The sequence below is a fragment of the Homo sapiens genome, chromosome 3 (assembly GCF_000001405.40).
Source record: "Homo sapiens chromosome 3, GRCh38.p14 Primary Assembly".
In the NCBI taxonomy this organism is placed as follows: domain Eukaryota; kingdom Metazoa; phylum Chordata; class Mammalia; order Primates; family Hominidae; genus Homo; species Homo sapiens.
Genome location: NC_000003.12, coordinates 193008670 through 193026155, shown reverse-complemented (window position 1 = coordinate 193026155; position 17486 = coordinate 193008670).

Here is a 17486-nt window from a genome sequence, read left to right as displayed (position 1 = left end):
ATGCTAACTTAAGGCTAAAATAAGAATCAAATAACATCTCAATTATAACCACTTTGAGTTTCTTTAGTCTAATGGTGATATACTGGCAACAAAGAACAAAGTTTTGGAATGAGGACGAAAAATGCAGCTTAGATTTTAGAGATTAGAAAGTTTCTATGTTTACAGATATTGATTACAAACTGATATGTTAAATTATGTTTTGCTTAAAATTTGTTCCTATAACAATAGTAAGATGGTCCTTTACGGTGAGAATTTGTGTATTAACCTCACTAATATATCTAATGAATTTAGGTACTTCTGTTGCAGCTAAATGCTCTTGAAAAATTATCATTTTTTAAAAATCACATTTTTCTGTTGATTTCCATTTTAATAGCAAAAATAAGTTTGTTCCAGCAGTTCTTGCAACTGCAATCCATAGTGAGAAGTGGGTTGATTAGGAGGTTCTCCAAGGATAGGCAGCCAGGCTCGGGCTGCAGTCTGAACTCAGGCCTGATTAAAGATTCCCTGCTCTTCCCACTCAGTGACTGATGTTCTTCACAATAGACAAGATGCTGGAATTCAGAGGCCTCAGCACTTTCTCAATGAGGTATCAGTGCTGTAAATAAATCATTCCTTGACCTTTAAATGCCATTTATATTTCCAAGTAAGAAACATACACCTAAAATTATTGGAAGGGATAAATGGAATTTGTTCAAGCAACAAAAATAAATGGAGCTTTTTCCTTTTATAAAGAAATTTACATACTTCAGAAAAGCTAAAAATACCTTAATTGGAGAGAATATGAATATCCCTTAAGGAAAATGAAGTAGCTAATTGTACCAAGAAATTTAATGAGATTATCACATACCTTAATGGTTCTGGAGAACCATGGCCTTCCTTTTTTAACTGTTAGAGAAATCTGTACTTTGGTTAACTCACAGAAAGTGGATAATGCACCATAATGGGTTTCTGAAAAGCTACTCTATTAAGTTCTTCCAACTCCAAGTGACCAAATAAAGTCAAATCACAACAAATCTAGAAAAATAAGTTGTGAATTTAAAGAGCAGTCGAGCCTTCTTGAAAGTGAAATATAAAATAGATGTGCTAAGAGCTACTTTCAAAAAATAAAACCCTAGACCAAGTTTCAAATCCTAGGATGTATGGAGCAGTCCCTCATGCATGAGTTTCTTGCTGGTGGCAATATAATATGATTTGATGTGGAACCAAACTAGAGAGCTTGGAGGACCCAGAAGATAAACTCATTGTAGAACTCTGAATCCTGACAGTGACTTCACTCTTTCTCCTGTCATCTGCTTCCTAGCTCTCCTTACTCAGTTACCCATGATTCTCCCTGGTCCTAACCCAGTGCTCTTCTGTCTCTGGGCCTTCCCTGCAATGGGTATTATGCCCATTGCATCCTTCACTCAGTCAGTATCTATTTGTTGAGCATCTACTATATGTGAGGGACAGAGGAAAAGATAGAATCCCTGTCTTGATAGAACTTAACTGTAAGTGGGAGAGCAAACAAACAAACAAGATACAATTTTGGATTCTAAGAGCTAAGAAGAAAATCAATAAGCAATGTGATAGAGAGTAGATGGGCAGAGAGACTCATTGAATACATATTTGTAAGCATAAATAAGTGGCCTCTTCTTTTTTCTTCATGTTACTTGAGTGTTGTTTGAATTTTTACAAGAAAAATACAAAATGCATAATTGTAATGTTTTACATATTTAAACCAGTAAGTCCTACCCACTAACCTACAAAAAAAATGAAATTCTACTCCCTTATTACAGAAGAAGGAAGCGAGGGCCACAGAGGTTGAAGGACACTTTATCAAAATTGCATGGCTGGTTGAGAATGAACCCAGGTTTCCTGATGAGCTAGCATACTGGCTCCTAGAGAGGTCAGCATGCCGGGATCCTTTGCTGCATGTGTGAATTCTCATTTATTAAATCTATATCTGTTTGCAACATGTGGGTATTGAGGATAAGATGTATGGAGCTATTCTCTATATAAAGAATACGTGTATATTTTTCTATAGTTGTGGGAGTACAAAGGGATGGATCTGGGGAATTTAGAGTGGGCCAGAGAGTTCTTGAATAAGCAGGAACTCACTAAGAACAGGAAGGACTGATGGGAAGCTAGGATCTCTCTCGTTCTCTCTTTCACACAGGTCTGCACACACACGAACACACATACCTCACAACCCAGGTAAAAAGAGGACCTAACAATGTGGGGTAAAATGATGAATGGATAGATAGACACATGTCCTAAAAAAATAGCTGACTTCAAAGACCCATGTCCCTCACCATCACATCCTGAGAGATAATGCCTCTGCATGACACCACTCATTAAATGACAGTCTTAAAGTATAATGAAGTGAAAGGTAAACTGAGTCAGGATTTTCTGTGGCCATGATTTAATAAACATGGAAATGAAGAGGTGTCCTCCGGGAAGTAGAAGAGAGGACAAAAGAGTATGTCTCTTTGGTTTGGGGATCTTTGTTTTGTTTTGCAGGTTTTTTTCATTGCCTTTCATTTAGTGTGTGACAGGTTCTTTGAAGTGAAAATAAGATAAATATTGTATCTGCTGCTCTGATTCCAGCTAGTTTCTCAGGGCAATTATTGTGGGGGAGCTGGGAGAGAGAAAGGCTCTCTCTACCCTGCCCTTCCATGAGAAGTCTTCATGACCAAAGAAACCCTGTCCCCTCTCCACTCTTTACTCCTCCCTATGGGGAGAAGGGCTGTGTCTGATTGGTTGGGACTAAGAAATGAATCTGCATATTCTTGGCCCTTCATCTTTTCTTTTTCACTCTGAGTTCTGATCTTTCTGCAGGAAGCATGCACCTGCTCTGCATCTCGATCCCTTGAGTCTTACAAGGGCAGGCACAGAGCAGGGGTGCTGTGGTTAAGTCTTGCTACTTCTGGGATTCAGTATTAGTAAGCCTGCCAGCCTATAAATAGAAACTACATTTTCCAACATCAACTTCATTGGTAAGAAAAATAATATGGGCCGGGCGCGGTGGCTCACGCCTGTAATCCCAGCACTTTGGGAGGCCGAGGCGGGCGGATCACGAGGTCAGGAGATCGAGACCATCCCGGCTAAAATGGTGAAACCCCGTCTCTACTAAAAATACAAAAAATTAGCCGGGCGTAGTGGCGGGCGCCTGTAGTCCCAGCTACTTGGGAGGCTGAGGCAGGAGAATGGCGTGAACCCGGGAGGCGGAGCTTGCAGTGAGCCGAGATCCCGCCACTGCACTCCAGCCTGGGCGACAGAGCGAGACTCCGTCTCAAAAAAAAAAAAAAGAAAAATAATATGTTGGCTCCCAACCTACCTTACTCTTAAGCCTTATTTTCCCTTTGGTTCAGAACTCAAGTGAACAAGAAGGGTGCTATTCATTGGACCCCATCCAATCTCAACAACTATACATGGAATGGCAGAGAAACAGCCCTCTGGTCAAACTGAGTTTGGGGTTGATGACTTGGGACCTTGTAGTTGCATACTGCTTGACACCAGTCTACCAAGAATTATTCAAGTCAGAAGACAATCAGCATTTTATTTTTGCATTTCTTGAACAAATATTATAGAAATAAATATATTTCTATTATTAAACACTTGTGTGCACTTCATATAATTAAATATTTTTATTGCAATGAAAACAAATTATCCCACTTGGATGGGTTTAAGTCTAAGAAAAATGTCAGCTTGTCCATCAAGTCAGCCTTGCTGGCACCTGCAAGATATGCTTCCTTCTGCCTCAATTCCTAAAGTGCTTCTTTCGTATCACTCAAGCTACTCACCACAACAGCAGTCTATGGCAGCTGTGAATACATCTTCTCTCCCATTTCTAGTGTTGTTAGCTCCTGAAGCCCAGGAACCTTATCTTATTCATGGCTGTATGCTTTGCAGTATCTATTATAGAGGCATGCAATTTGTAGATAGCAAGGAAATGCAATTTTAAAATGTTTAAAAGCAAGCAGATCATAAACCAAAGGGCTTAGAGTTGATGGCAAATAATATCAGGTACTTTTCCTCTGCATAGCCATTTAATTACATATTTAAAAATAAATGGACATCAAGGGCAGCCTTGAAAAGAAGTTCCTAAGGAGCATCCTTGGGAAGTTGAGAAAGGTAGAAAGAGGGAGGAACAGTGACTTTTATCCTGCGTTATCTCATGTGGAGGAACGGTGACTTTTATCCTGCGTTATCTCATGTTTTTCATTATTTCTTAACCTTGATAACTTACATTTCTCAGGCTCTCAGAATCTATTAGCATAATGCAGGAACCCACCCCCCTACAAAATCCTCTCCTCCCCGTCACCATCTACAAATATTTGTCTTAGGTGACCCTGTACATTCCTATCAATGTAGTCTCCTGCCAGAAAGCCCCTTGAGGTACCTGACTCCGCCATTCTAGCTGCCTTGATCCTTGACTGAGGCTTCTAATCCCTTTCTCACAGGCAAAGCTGCTTTCTCAAGCTGGCAGATGGCCTCGGGACACCGGATCCTCACAGAGACTGAGGAAACTGCACCACATCACCTCAAAGAAATAATATGTTTATCTTTATTGTCTCCTAGAGAACTCTAAGAAAACAGTTTCTTCACCTTCTGCCTGGTGTCTCATCCTTTCTCCTTATCCTTTCTTCCACTAGATACACTGCAAACCTCTTCCACATTCAGAAGAAAAGGTCATGAAAATCTGTGCTTGAGGATCTCACTCACACCTCACCTGTGTCCCCAAAGCCTTTCAACAAGAACTCTTGCCATGCCGGCTGTTCATTGCTTCAGGCCCTGCCTTATCCTACGTTGATTGGCTTAAGAAGCAGCATGTTCACAACATGGAGAAACCCCGTCTCTACTGAAAATACAAAATTAGCCGGGCATGGTGGCGGGTGCCTGTAATCCCAGCTACTTGAGAGGCTGAGGCAGGAGAATCGCTTGAACCCAGGAGGCGGAGATTGAGGTGAGCCGAGATCGTGTCACTGCACTGCAGCCTGGATAACAAGAGCGAGACTCCGTCTCAGAAAAAAAAAGCAGCAGCAGCAGCATGGAGCCTCAAAAGTTCCGGAGAAATCATCCATAATTAGCCACACAGTTAGTCCAGCTCTGAGCCTGGGGCTGAGACATTTGCCACTTCCTGTCCCATCAGTGCTCCTATAAGCATGTCACTGCCCAGCTCCACAGCTCAGACCCCACCACAGTGGAGTGGAACTGGATAAGTGAGCAGGAGAGTAGAGACAAGAGCCCTGGGGTGAATGTGATCTCCACGGTCTCTCACTCCAGTTCCAGTTCTGCTGCTATGTCCATGTGACCTTGGAAAAGTAAGTCACTTTCTCCACTTGTTCCTCAGTTTTTCCCATTTATACATACGGTGGTTAGACCTGGTAATCCCTTTGACATGCTACGAATAAATGACAGTTTATATAATAGAAATACTAAATATTAAGTTTTGGGCCCTGGTTCCATCTCATTTGATCATTCACACAGTTCCTATATTATCCCGTGCTCATTCATGCATTTAAAGCTTGGGTCCATTTAAGATTACAAAATCCAAGAAATGCTAGTTTCAGAAGTCCTATTCATATGTTTTTTAAGACGAGAAAATAACTCGTTGCATGCTCACATGCTGTACAGCAACAAAGCCAGAGGCTGACAATGAACTAAGTGGGAGCAATACTTACTATTCCTGGTAGAACAACCAATCCAGTGGTGAAAATTCAGTAGCCAAGGTACTGTTTCTGGTTTAAGCTATGCTTTTTGCCTTGGCTGAGGAAATATACCAAAGCATTGGGTTTTATCTGACACTCAAGGAAAGCCATATCACAAGAACTGGAGTTTGCGTTGCAAAGTAGCAAAAATCATTCATTGACTTGAGCTGCAGGAGGCGTATGCATTGTGCAGTCCACACATGAGAAATTGCACCCCTTCTCTCCATGAGAAGCTGGGCTCAAACTGATTGCATTAATTTTATTGATCTATAGTCTGTGCAAGATAAAAGTCCTATGATTGCGTGGCTAACCCTGGTAATACTCTATGCTCCTTGACAGGTTTTCTGATAGGTCTAAGAGTTGTTTTCCCCCCAGGCCGCATCTTAAAGAACCAACTTCAGCATTTTCATAGGAGCCAGGGATGCAAGAGATCTAAGGAGTTTCCTGTGTTAACTCTCTTTCTCCAGTACAAGGATTCACATATTCTTAAAACATCTCTAAGTATCATCCAGCTTAGAGCAACATATGTAACTGGCAAGAAACTCATGATTCTTCAGTCCATCTTTTCCATTTTTGGCCAGCTTCAATGGTTAGAAAGTCCCAAAGAATTATGAGTCCACAATGTCTTCCTACCTAGGTTACCTTGATTTATAAACTCTCGGCCCAGCTCCTCACACATAGTACTTGATAAACATTAATTATAATACAGGTATTATACTGAAACAATTCCCTATAGTATATTAAGACCATGGATGTTGAAGGCAGGCATGCCTAAAGTGAAGTGTAACTTTGGGCCAAGTGTTCCTTAGGCCTTAATTTCCTTATTCATAAAATGTATAGTAATAGCTCCAACCTTACATGTATTACCTATTAAATGAGATAACGCAAGTCACATACCTAGTACAGTGACTCACAGTAAGCACTCAAAATATTTAGCTATTATTAATATTATCATCAATAATTATTTCTGGCGATGCTCTCTTCAATTGAAAAATTATCAGGCACATACACTGGAAGGAGAAGGATGAAATAACTTGTTGAAATAGTTAGCAATAGAAAACCTCTGCCTGATGGCAGAAACTCTTTCTTAGTCCATCTCTCAATCTCTTGTGCATAACACAGTACTTGGTGTAGGCTACATAAATATTTATTGAGTTGAACTGAACTAAACTTTCCATTAATGAGGACATACCAAGTGTAACATCAAACTATGTTTTCATAGACATTCACATTTTCCCATTAAGCTTTATTTAGAAAATATCTATGGCAAATGAATCCTCTGTTGCCATATTGACTGTTAAATCCTCTTTGCATAAATCCATTTTTACCCTTCTGTATTAATCAGGGTTCTCTAGAGGGACAGGACTAATAGGATAGACGTATATATAAAAGGAAGTTTATTAAGAAGTACTGACTCACACAATCACAAAGTGAAGTCCCACAACAGGCCGTCTGCAAGCCAAGGAGCAAGGAAGCCAGTCCAAATCCCAAAACCTCAAATGTAGGGAAGCCAACAGTGCAGCCTTCAGTCTGTGGCCGAAGGCCTGAGAGCCCCTGGCAAACCACTGGTGTAAGTCCACCAGTCCAAAAGCTGAAGAACCTGGAGTTCAATGTTCGAGGGCAGGAAGGACCCAGCATGGGAGAAAGATGAAGACTGGAAGACTCAGCAAGTCTAGCCCTTCCACGTTCCTCTGCCTGCTTTTATGCTAGCCGTGCTGCCAGCTGATTAGATGGTGCCCACCCAGATTGAGGGTGGGTCTGCTTCTCCCAGTCCACTGACTCAAATGTTAATCTCCTTTGTCAACACCCTCACAGACACATCCAGGAATAGTATTTCACATCCTTCAATTCAATCAAGTTGACACTCAATTTTAAGCATCATACCTTCCTTTATCTTTTCTACATCATTTGAATTATTGGATCTACTTTTGCTATTGCTTATGTAGATGGATATCACAATCTATTATTTATATCAGCCAATAATCATAGACTTGGAAGAGGCCTCGAAGATTGTTAAGTTCATCCTGTATATTTTACATATATTGAAACTAAGACCTAGTAAGAAGGAACAACATGTCCAAAGTCACCCAGGTTTTTAATAGTAGAACTAGCACCAGAAGTCCGGGCGTGATTGCTCATACCTGTAATCCCAGCACTTTGGGAGGCCGAGGCGGGCAGATCAAGAGGTCAAGAGATCGAAACCATCCTGGCCAACATGGTGAAACCCCGTCTCTATTAAAAATGCAAAAATTAAATTAGCCGGGCATGGTGGCGGGCACCTGTAGTCCCAGCTACTCGGGAGGCTGAGGCAGGAGAATGGCGCGAACCCGGGAGGTGGAGCTTGCTGTGAGCAGAGATTGCGCCACTGCACTGCAGCCTGGGCGACAGAGCGAGACTCCGTCTCAAAAAAAAAAATTAGCTGGGCATGGTGGTGCATGCCTGTAGTGTCAGCTACTTGGGAGGCTGAGGCAGGAGAATCGCTTGAACCCAGGAGGCAGAGGTTGCAGTAAGCTGAGATCATGTCACTACACTCCAGCCTGGTGACAGAGTGAGACTCTGTCTCAAAAAAAAAAAAAAAAAAAAAAAACCAACAACAACAAAAAAACTAGCCCGAGAAAATTACTTCTGACTCCCAAGTTAGAATTCCCTTTGCTCTACCACACTGTTAGTAAATACCAAGCGATTCATCAGTATGTGACATCTCTGGCATTCTGAGCTCTGTTCTGTGAGGGTAATTAGATGTATAGCCTCCCGTTATATTTGTTAGAGGCATTTAGAGATATCAGCTATTCTTTCGCCTTCACCTCCCTCTCTCTGGCTATTTCCACAGATTTTCAACTGATCACTTTTTAAAATCATATCATTTCTATGAATCAGGCTTATTTGGATGTGGGTGACAGGAAGCCAACTCAAACTAATTTATGCAAAGAACAATTATTGGGAAAGACTGCAACATGTCTTCTAGTGGTAAAGGAAGTGAAATAGTGAAGGACTTTCTAAAGAAAAGAACTGTTTGGGATTCATGAATCTTCTCTGTACTGCCATTTTCAATGACACCCAGTCTCTCTGTCTCTTTTGTTTTTAGTTTTAAACGAGAGAGAGAGAATAGATCAGCTCAGCTAATGTCCAGTGTCCAATTTGCTATAGTGAGAGTTGGAAGGTTACCCACATAGTACAGCTCCACTAGAGACCTCCCTTATCTGAGCATCAGAGGCTGTCCCTAAAGAAAAAGGAATCATTGTGAAGAGAGCAGCAGCCCCAAAAGGTATGTATAACATTTCACTACATATCTCCACAAGTAGATCGGGAGTTTCCAGAAGGCAAGGACCACGTCAACTTCATCTTTATACAGTATTTTCAAACATTTTTCTTGCCTTCTGTGTAATAAACACCTAATGCACATTTGTGGATCTGAATTGTATTAGATCTACTGTTTCTTTTTATCTAGGCCTACTGAACTAAGCTAAGAAAGCTACAGTATACAACTAATAAGAAAGAGGACTTTGCATTGCTTTTGGTTATTTGGAAAACCTCAAACCCAAGCCAATACATCCTCACTCCAGTGAAAAATACCTAACCACGCTTCCCTCCCCAGTTTCCTGTAGATACAGAGTTCCTCTTTCTCGGGCAGCCTCTCTACTGGAAGTGTTTCTTCCTGACATCCTGGAGCTTCCCCACAGCTAAGTCTTCAGTGTTTCAAATAGAGCCCTGCTGTGCTCAGGTCATTAGATTCTTGTCTTTCCTCTTCATATGACAGACATCGAGAGAACACATTCTCTTCTCCTGAGAAAAAGCTCCAATTAGATATGCTCATTAAAGCCCTGTGATTCTCCTGCTTCCTTCAAATGGACAACAAAAATGAATCACTTTATGCCGACCTGAAACCTGGCCAGGGAGCGCCTGCCCAGGCCACGTGCGGGCTGACTGCCAGGCCCTTGTGAGATGCACTAGGCAGTTTCCCTGTCAAATACCAGATTCTGCTGCTGCCTTCCAGCTGGTTATCAGAGCTGGCAGGCAACTGCATAAAGAACCCTGAACAAAAGATCACAGTTTACCCAGCATCAAAAGGATAATAACAAATTAAGGTGAAAACAAAGTCAAATCTGCCCCCATTCTGCCCCTAATTGGTCTCACTTACCCATTCCTGGCTTTTCAAGTATAGGCTATGTGCTCGCTTCGGCAGCACATATACTAAAATCAAGTATAGACTATGATGGCGTGTGGTGGGAAGAGCACGAGATGGGAAGTCAGAACACCTGAGTCTGCTCACAGGCCCTGCCTCTAACTAGTTGTATAATCTTTCAGCCTCAGGTACCTCATGTGAAAAGAGGATACTATTAAGATCTTGCAGGTCACATACTTTATTTTAAGGTATGTCCCAATACTTTACTACCACTGATAAAACCACCAGTATTAGCTAATATTTATCAAATATTTATTCTGTGTCAGACACTGTTTTGTGCTTAATTACTATGTATTTGTTTATTTAATCCTTATAACAACTTTTTGAAAGAACCTAGTAATATTATTTTTCCCATTTTGCAGATGAAGAAACTGAGATTTAGAGAGTGAAATAACTTGCTCAAGATGATAACAGCCAGTAAATTATAGAGCTTCACAACCCATGTTTTTCATCTCTGCAGTAGTAGTCCAATAACATCTCAGTTATTGGACTCAGTTTGAGGCAGAGGGAGGCTAAGCTTCCTCCTTGGCCTCCCTCTGCCTCAAACACTTGGTTTCTGGTCTTAAGTACATGATATTATCTCCTTCAAATTGGTTCACTATTTCTGTACTAACCGATGAGGTCTGATTCCTTTTAAAAACCAGCACATTTCTGCCTTCTAAAACCCACCATCTACCATCCTCATTTGCCAATGCATGTGTTGCCTCATTAAGTCATCCCTTTTATTATTATCAGTTACCTCTTGACCATTATGTCCCATCTTTCCAGCCAGATTTGAATACATGAAAGACCAGGACATGGATCACACTTCTTTGAACTACACTTAGTCCCTGGCACAATGTCTTTGTGCCAATCAGTAAATGTTAGTTGGGTTTAGTGTAGCTTCTTCCTAAGCTCTAGCCTAAACTATACTCCTTATTAGTGTCTATATGGTTATATGTGCTCTTTTTTGGGAACTATGGGATTAGAATTGTCGACCAGAAGCCTGGCAGCCCCCTCTGGGAGACATCCAGCTTTCATTGTGCAGGCAGCAGTGGCAAAGGGCACCCTGACCTATTCCTGTGTTCCTCTGCCAACTTGGTGAGTTACTTATGCCAGAGCTTCACCATGTCTGCACACCACCATGTGTCTGATGGGATCAGGACAAGCTTTCCTGGTGACGCCAGCCAAGAAAAAACAGCTGGCTAATGTGAAAAGGATGTTACCAGGCACCTGGCCCGCTTAGATCAGCTTTCTGTGCCAGCTTTGCATTCTGCATCAAGGCCTATGGTGACAGTAGGGATGACTACACCTTCTCTCCTCTCCAAAAGCTGGTCTGTAGGTGCCAAGTTCATAATGGTCATCTGTTGGGCTGTCTGTACATAGCACCTGCAGCTCAAACAACTAAGTCTGGAAGTTGCCAAGACCTTGGCACTCCCAGGGTATAATGGCAATGCCAAGAACTGAGGGGGCGACAAGTGTCCAAATTGTCTCATTGCCTCCTCTTGGAAGTTCCAACACCCAAATGCTGAAGGATATATGAAAGTTATTCCAGGTGCATTGTATTTTAGAAACATCATCTATTTCAGCAAATAGAGGAGATGCAAAATGTTCAGAAAATTGTGAGGAGCTTGGTGATTTTCAGGAAGGATGATGTCCTTTTATTGCTCCCACAATACTGAGTAATAAACAAACCTCAACGTGCTTTTAATAGCTAGCTGATCCCCGGTTTCACTGACAGCAAAGCAAGATAAACCAACTCTGGCTACAGCAAGAAGAGAAATTTGTAACCCTTGTTTTTCAATTGTACTCCTGCTGGGTGTGGTGGCTCATGCCTGTAATCCTAGCACTTTGGGAGGCTGAGGTGGGTGGATCACCTGAGGTCAGGAGTTCGAGACCAGCCTGGCCAACATGGTAAAACCCCATCTCTACTAAAAATACAAAAAATCAGCTGGGTGTGGTGGCACACCCCTGTAATCCCAGCTACTCTGGAGGCTAAGGCATGAGAATTGCTTGAACCGCGGAGGTGAAGATTCAGTGAGCCGAGATCATGCCACTGCACTCCAGCCTGGGTGACAGAGCAAGACTCCGTCTCAAAAAACAGCAAATAAATCAATGAATAAATAGTACTCCTAAGACTGCTTTGAAGGAGGTAGTGGGCAGGAAGGGTCCTGAATGGGGAAAATGGCAACAAAAGGAGAAAATACAAAAACATTTTTATCATTGTTTAAGTCTCTGTAAAGATAATTGACTTTTTAAAACAAAAATACTAACAAGGTACTGTGGGATTTATAACATAGGTAGAAGTCAAATGTGCAATAACAGCGCAAAGGCCAAGAGGGGAGAAATGTAGGCATACTCTTGCAAGGTTTAAATACTTGATGTGACACAGGATATCATGTGAAGAAAAACTGGAATAAAGTTAAGGTGAATACAACAACCCTAAAGCAGCCATTAAAATAAAACAAAAAAGAGTAACAGCTAATTTGCCAACAAAAAGAATAATAAAATAAATTATTTTAAAAAATCATGTGATCCAAAAAAGGCAGGAAAAAAATGGGGATGGAATGAAGGACAGAGGGGACAAATAGAAATGAAATAGCAAAATAGTATGTTTAAACCCAATCATACAAATAATCACATTTAATGTAAATAATCTAAATACTCCAATTAAAAGACAGACATGTTCGGATTGTATTAAAAAGCAAGTCTCAACCATTTGCTGCTTAAAAGAAATCAGTTTAAATACAAAAATATAAACTGGTTAAAAGTCAAAGTGTGAAAAAGATATATTATGCTAACATTAAATTTAAAAAATAAAAGCTAAAGTATCTTGATTAATAGCAGTCCAGGAAAATTTTAGAGCAAAGAATAGAATATTACCAAAGATAAAGAGGATCATTTAACAGTGATAAATGGACCAATTCATCAAGCAGAGATAACAATCCTAAATGCTTATGCACTTAAGAGTAGAGATGAAAGCCTGATATAACCACAAGAGGAAAGAGAGAAAGCCACACTTATAATTTTTCACATAATTTTTCACATAATTTTTCACTTTTTATTTTTGTAGGTACATAGTAGGTGTGTATATTCATGGGGTACATGAGATGTTCTGATACATGCATGCAATGCATAATAATCACATCACGAAACATGGGGTATCATTTACTTCATGCATTTATCCTTTGTCCGCACTTACAGATTAAGATTGCAACAACCTTCTCTCAATAATTACTGGAACAAGTAAACAGAAAACCAGTAAGGATATGGAAGACTTTAAAAAAACATTGACTACCTAGATTTAATTTACATTTTTAGGATACTACACCCAAAACAGCAGAATACACATTCTTCTCAAGAACAAAAGGAACATTTACCAAAACAGACCATAGTCTTGGTCATGAAGAAAGTGTCAATAAATTTTAAAGGACTCAAGTCATAGAAAGTGTGTTTTCTGCCTGCCTAGCAATTAAATTAGAAATTAATAACAGAAAACTGGAAAATCTCCACATATTCGAAAATAAATAACACATTTCCAAACAGCCCATGAGTCAAGAAGAAGTTGTACTAGAAGTTAGAAAATGATTTGAACTAAGAAAAGGAAAACTCAACTATCAAAATGGGTGAGATGCAGGTAAAGCAATAATAAGAGGAAAATTTATAGCAGTGAACATAAATAACAGAAAAAAAAGAAGAGTCTCAAATCAGTGACATCAGCTTCCATCTTAAGAAACTAGAAAAACAAAAGCAAATAAAACCCAAAGAAAGCAGAATAAAGAAAACAAAGATTAGAGCAGAAATCAATAGAATAGAAAACAGAAACACAATAAAGAAATTCAAGGAAGTCAAAAGCTGGTTCTTTTAAAAGGTTAATGGCTACATCTCTAGCTTGAAGGGGCTAGAAGGATCACAAAGAGCTCCAGGATTAAGGGTAGATCCTCACTAGCTGCAGGGAACCATACCTTGCCTGCCTGAATATGCCTAGGTCTCACATTGATGTCTCTCCCCTCAGCTTCACAGGCAATCATTCACTTGCTGTCTTTTGTTAAGGATGTTCTTTCCCAGGAGTCAATGAGTAGTCAGGGTTGGCATTTCTGAGGCAGATGCCAACAAGCATAACTTCAGGCATATTTAAAGAATTCTGATGATTTTGCATTTTCTGATAGCTTTGTGTTTTTCCACAGTTTGCAGATCTCTACCATCTAAAAACTTATAATACTGAGGCCAGGCGCAGTGGCTCATGCCTGTAATCCCAGCACTGTGGGAGACCAAGGCAGGTGGATCACAAGGTCAGGAGTTCGAGACCAACCTGGCCAACATGGCGAAACCCCATCTCTACTAAAAATACAAAAATTAGCTGGGCATGGTGATGGGCATCTGTAGTCCCAGCTACTCTGGAGGCTGAGGCAGGAGAATCACTTGAACCCAGGAGGCAGAGGTTGCAGTGAGCCGAGATCATGTGCCACTGCACTCCAGCCTGGGTGACAGAGTGAGACTCCATCTCAAAAAAAGAAAAAAAATATATATATATACACACACACACAACTATATATATATAGTATATATACAGTATATGCCGTATATACAGTATACTATATATACAGTATATGCCGTATATACAGTATACTATATATACAGTATATGCCGTATATACAGTATACTATATATACAGTATATGCCGTATATACAGTATACTATATATACAGTATATGCCGTATATACAGTATACTATATATACAGTATATGTCGTATATACAGTATACTATATATACAGTATATGTCGTATATACAGTATACTATATATACAGTATATGTCGTATATACAGTATACTATATATAGTATATGTCGTATATACAGTATACTACATATACTGTATATGTAGTATATATAATATACAGTATATGTAGTATATATAATATACAGTATATGTAGTATACTATATATACAGTATATGTAGTATATATAATATACAGTATATGTAGTATATATAATATACTATATGTATAGTACTGAGACATAGCTAGCAGAACCCTGGGGAAGGAAAAATCCTCAGTGTTGCTGTGAATATGGGACTTTACTAACCCTCCTTGAATCTTTGACTCTTGCCAGAGGAATCTGGCTTTCTCTTAAAACCTGAAGGTGAAATGCCTCACCTGGGCCAATGCCACTTACAGGGATAAGAATATTGAAGTTGGGGTAAGAGGTAAGTAAGAAGCCTGGATTCATTAAATACAAAAAAACAGATGCAAACCAAAAAATAAAATGTAAACGAAAAAATGTGCAAACCAACTAGCAGCAGTTTGGACAGACAAATACTGAAAATGGCATCAGGGGGACATGAATGCTAGCTCCATCTCTGAACCTGACTGTGTGATGCTTTCCATGTTATTTCTCCTTTCTAACTGAATGTGCCTCTTTGGGAAAAAAAAATGAGAAATGGATTAAATGATCTCTCAGGAGCTCTCTGGTTCTGTTATTCCTGTGAAACTCCTACATTCTTCCTGTGAAGGTGACAGTCAGTGTTAGGGAACCTTTGACCACATTGCTTAATCTCCAGGTTGACTTCTGCGAGGAATTGGTTTTAGGACTCTCCTGCCCTCCTTTAATCTAGTTGCTTATTTGCAGAAGGGGAATGTGGGAAATCTGCAACAGATTTAAGTTAAAAAAGGGAGCTTACTGAAGGGATTGTGGGCAGCTCATAGAATCACAAGAAGACTGGAGAGGCAGGAAAGAAAGCGGGGCCTAGGGCCAGCCAGGATCACAGCCATCATGTTCTCAATCTGGTGCCTGGAAGACCCCACATTCCCTCCAGGAACACAGGATGCCATGCTGGTACCCTGTCCCCTTCAGCCTTGACAGACACAGGAGATCACAACTGGCAGCACTGTGTGCTGTAGCAGCTGCTGCCAACACCTGCCTCTGGAATGGGCTCTTGGCTGCCCCTGCTTTTTGAGTCACAAGCTTCCAATTCAGTCTTGGCAGCTGGGTCTGATGGGCCTAGATCCTGTCAACCTAGTTCCAGGCACGAGAGAAAGAGGAGAGTGAATATTTGAGGTTTTCAGCATCTATAGTGAAGACAAGTTCTATCTCCCACTAAAACTTATGTAGTGAAAAATTCTTCCACAGATGAAGGGGTTCAGTTATGCCACAGCCACAAGAAAAGACAAATGTTTTAAACATCTGACTAACATCTGAAGGAAAAGAACGTGCTTTCATTTGTTGCCCTATATCATAAAGGACTCTAGGTTCTAAAATCTGGACGTGGAAAATAGACTGCAGTCCACCTAATCAAGCCCTTTCATTGTACAGATGGGAAATTGAACTTAAAAAGGGATGATAACCAGCTTGTCGGCTGGACCGGAACTTAAGTTTCCTGCCTTTGGGCCAGTTATCCCACTACCTCGTGCTGCCTTCTAAGACAAAGAACAGAATCCCTTCTTTGTCAAATGAAGTAAGACACCAAATGTTCATAAAACATATTTGTTTTTGCAATTTAGCTTGTTTTGATTTTTTGTGAAGGTTTTGGCATTAAACACATTAGATCTGCTCCCCTCCAGATTCCGACTCAATTAGTATGTATTAACCACCTGCTATAATGGCAGACAGTGCACTGATGTTCTCCTTAATGCAGCAGGAGGTGCAGGGATCTGTTTGCATCTGAGGAACAATGGGTAATGGGGACTACAGCACTGTGGAGCTTCTCTCACCATCTATTATTTCTGCTTTTCTCTGATCATTGTTTTATTCTCCCTTTTTGATAGATACCTCTGCATCTGGTCCTCCTGGCTAAAAGGAAGACAACTGTGGAACAGTTGCAACAGCTATGGGAAGATGTGTTAGAGTGTCAACAGATGGCTTGGCTCTTTTAGTCCCAGTACCAAAATCTCAAGGAAGAAGCAATTGTCTCAGAGTCTTTATCCCTGGTCCAGCAACTGTAGCTAGAGGGTCAGAATTACACGGTGCATGGCTGCTTCCAGAGTACCTCCCAGAGTAACTACAGGAGGCAGAGGGTAGTTCAAGAAAAGCTTGGAAATGCTCAGAGGAAACATCGATTCCATTACACAGATATGAATTAATTTAATACATTAGCCCCATTTATTCATCAAATACTTATTTAATGCTACTGTATTCTAGGCCCTGTTTTAGATAATAGAAATATAGCAGTGAACACAATAAACACAGAAGATAGAAAAAAGATAAATAAGCAAATATGTTTTGTGTCTGATAGTGGTAAATGCTATGGAAAAAAAATAAAGCAGGTTAAGAGTGAGGGTGGGGAGTGGGTATATGTGCACACATGCACCACTCTATGTAGAGAAGACAAAGAAAGCCTCATTGAGAAGAGGATGTTTTAGTTGAAATCTAAAAGAAGTGAGGGAATTAGCCATGAGGCTGTGAGGTAAAAGCATTCCAAGTAGAAAAACAGGAAGTGCAAAGACCCTGAGGCTGGAAAGTGCTTTGTGTGTTCAAGAAATAGCAAAGAAGTTGAAATGCACCTAACAGAGAATGAAAGGAAGAATGTCAGAAGATGATGTCTGAGAGGTGAGAGGAGCCGGGTCATATAGGGTTTTGGGCTGTATAAACCACTGTAAGGACTTTTTTTTTTTAACTCCAAGTGAAATAGGAAGCC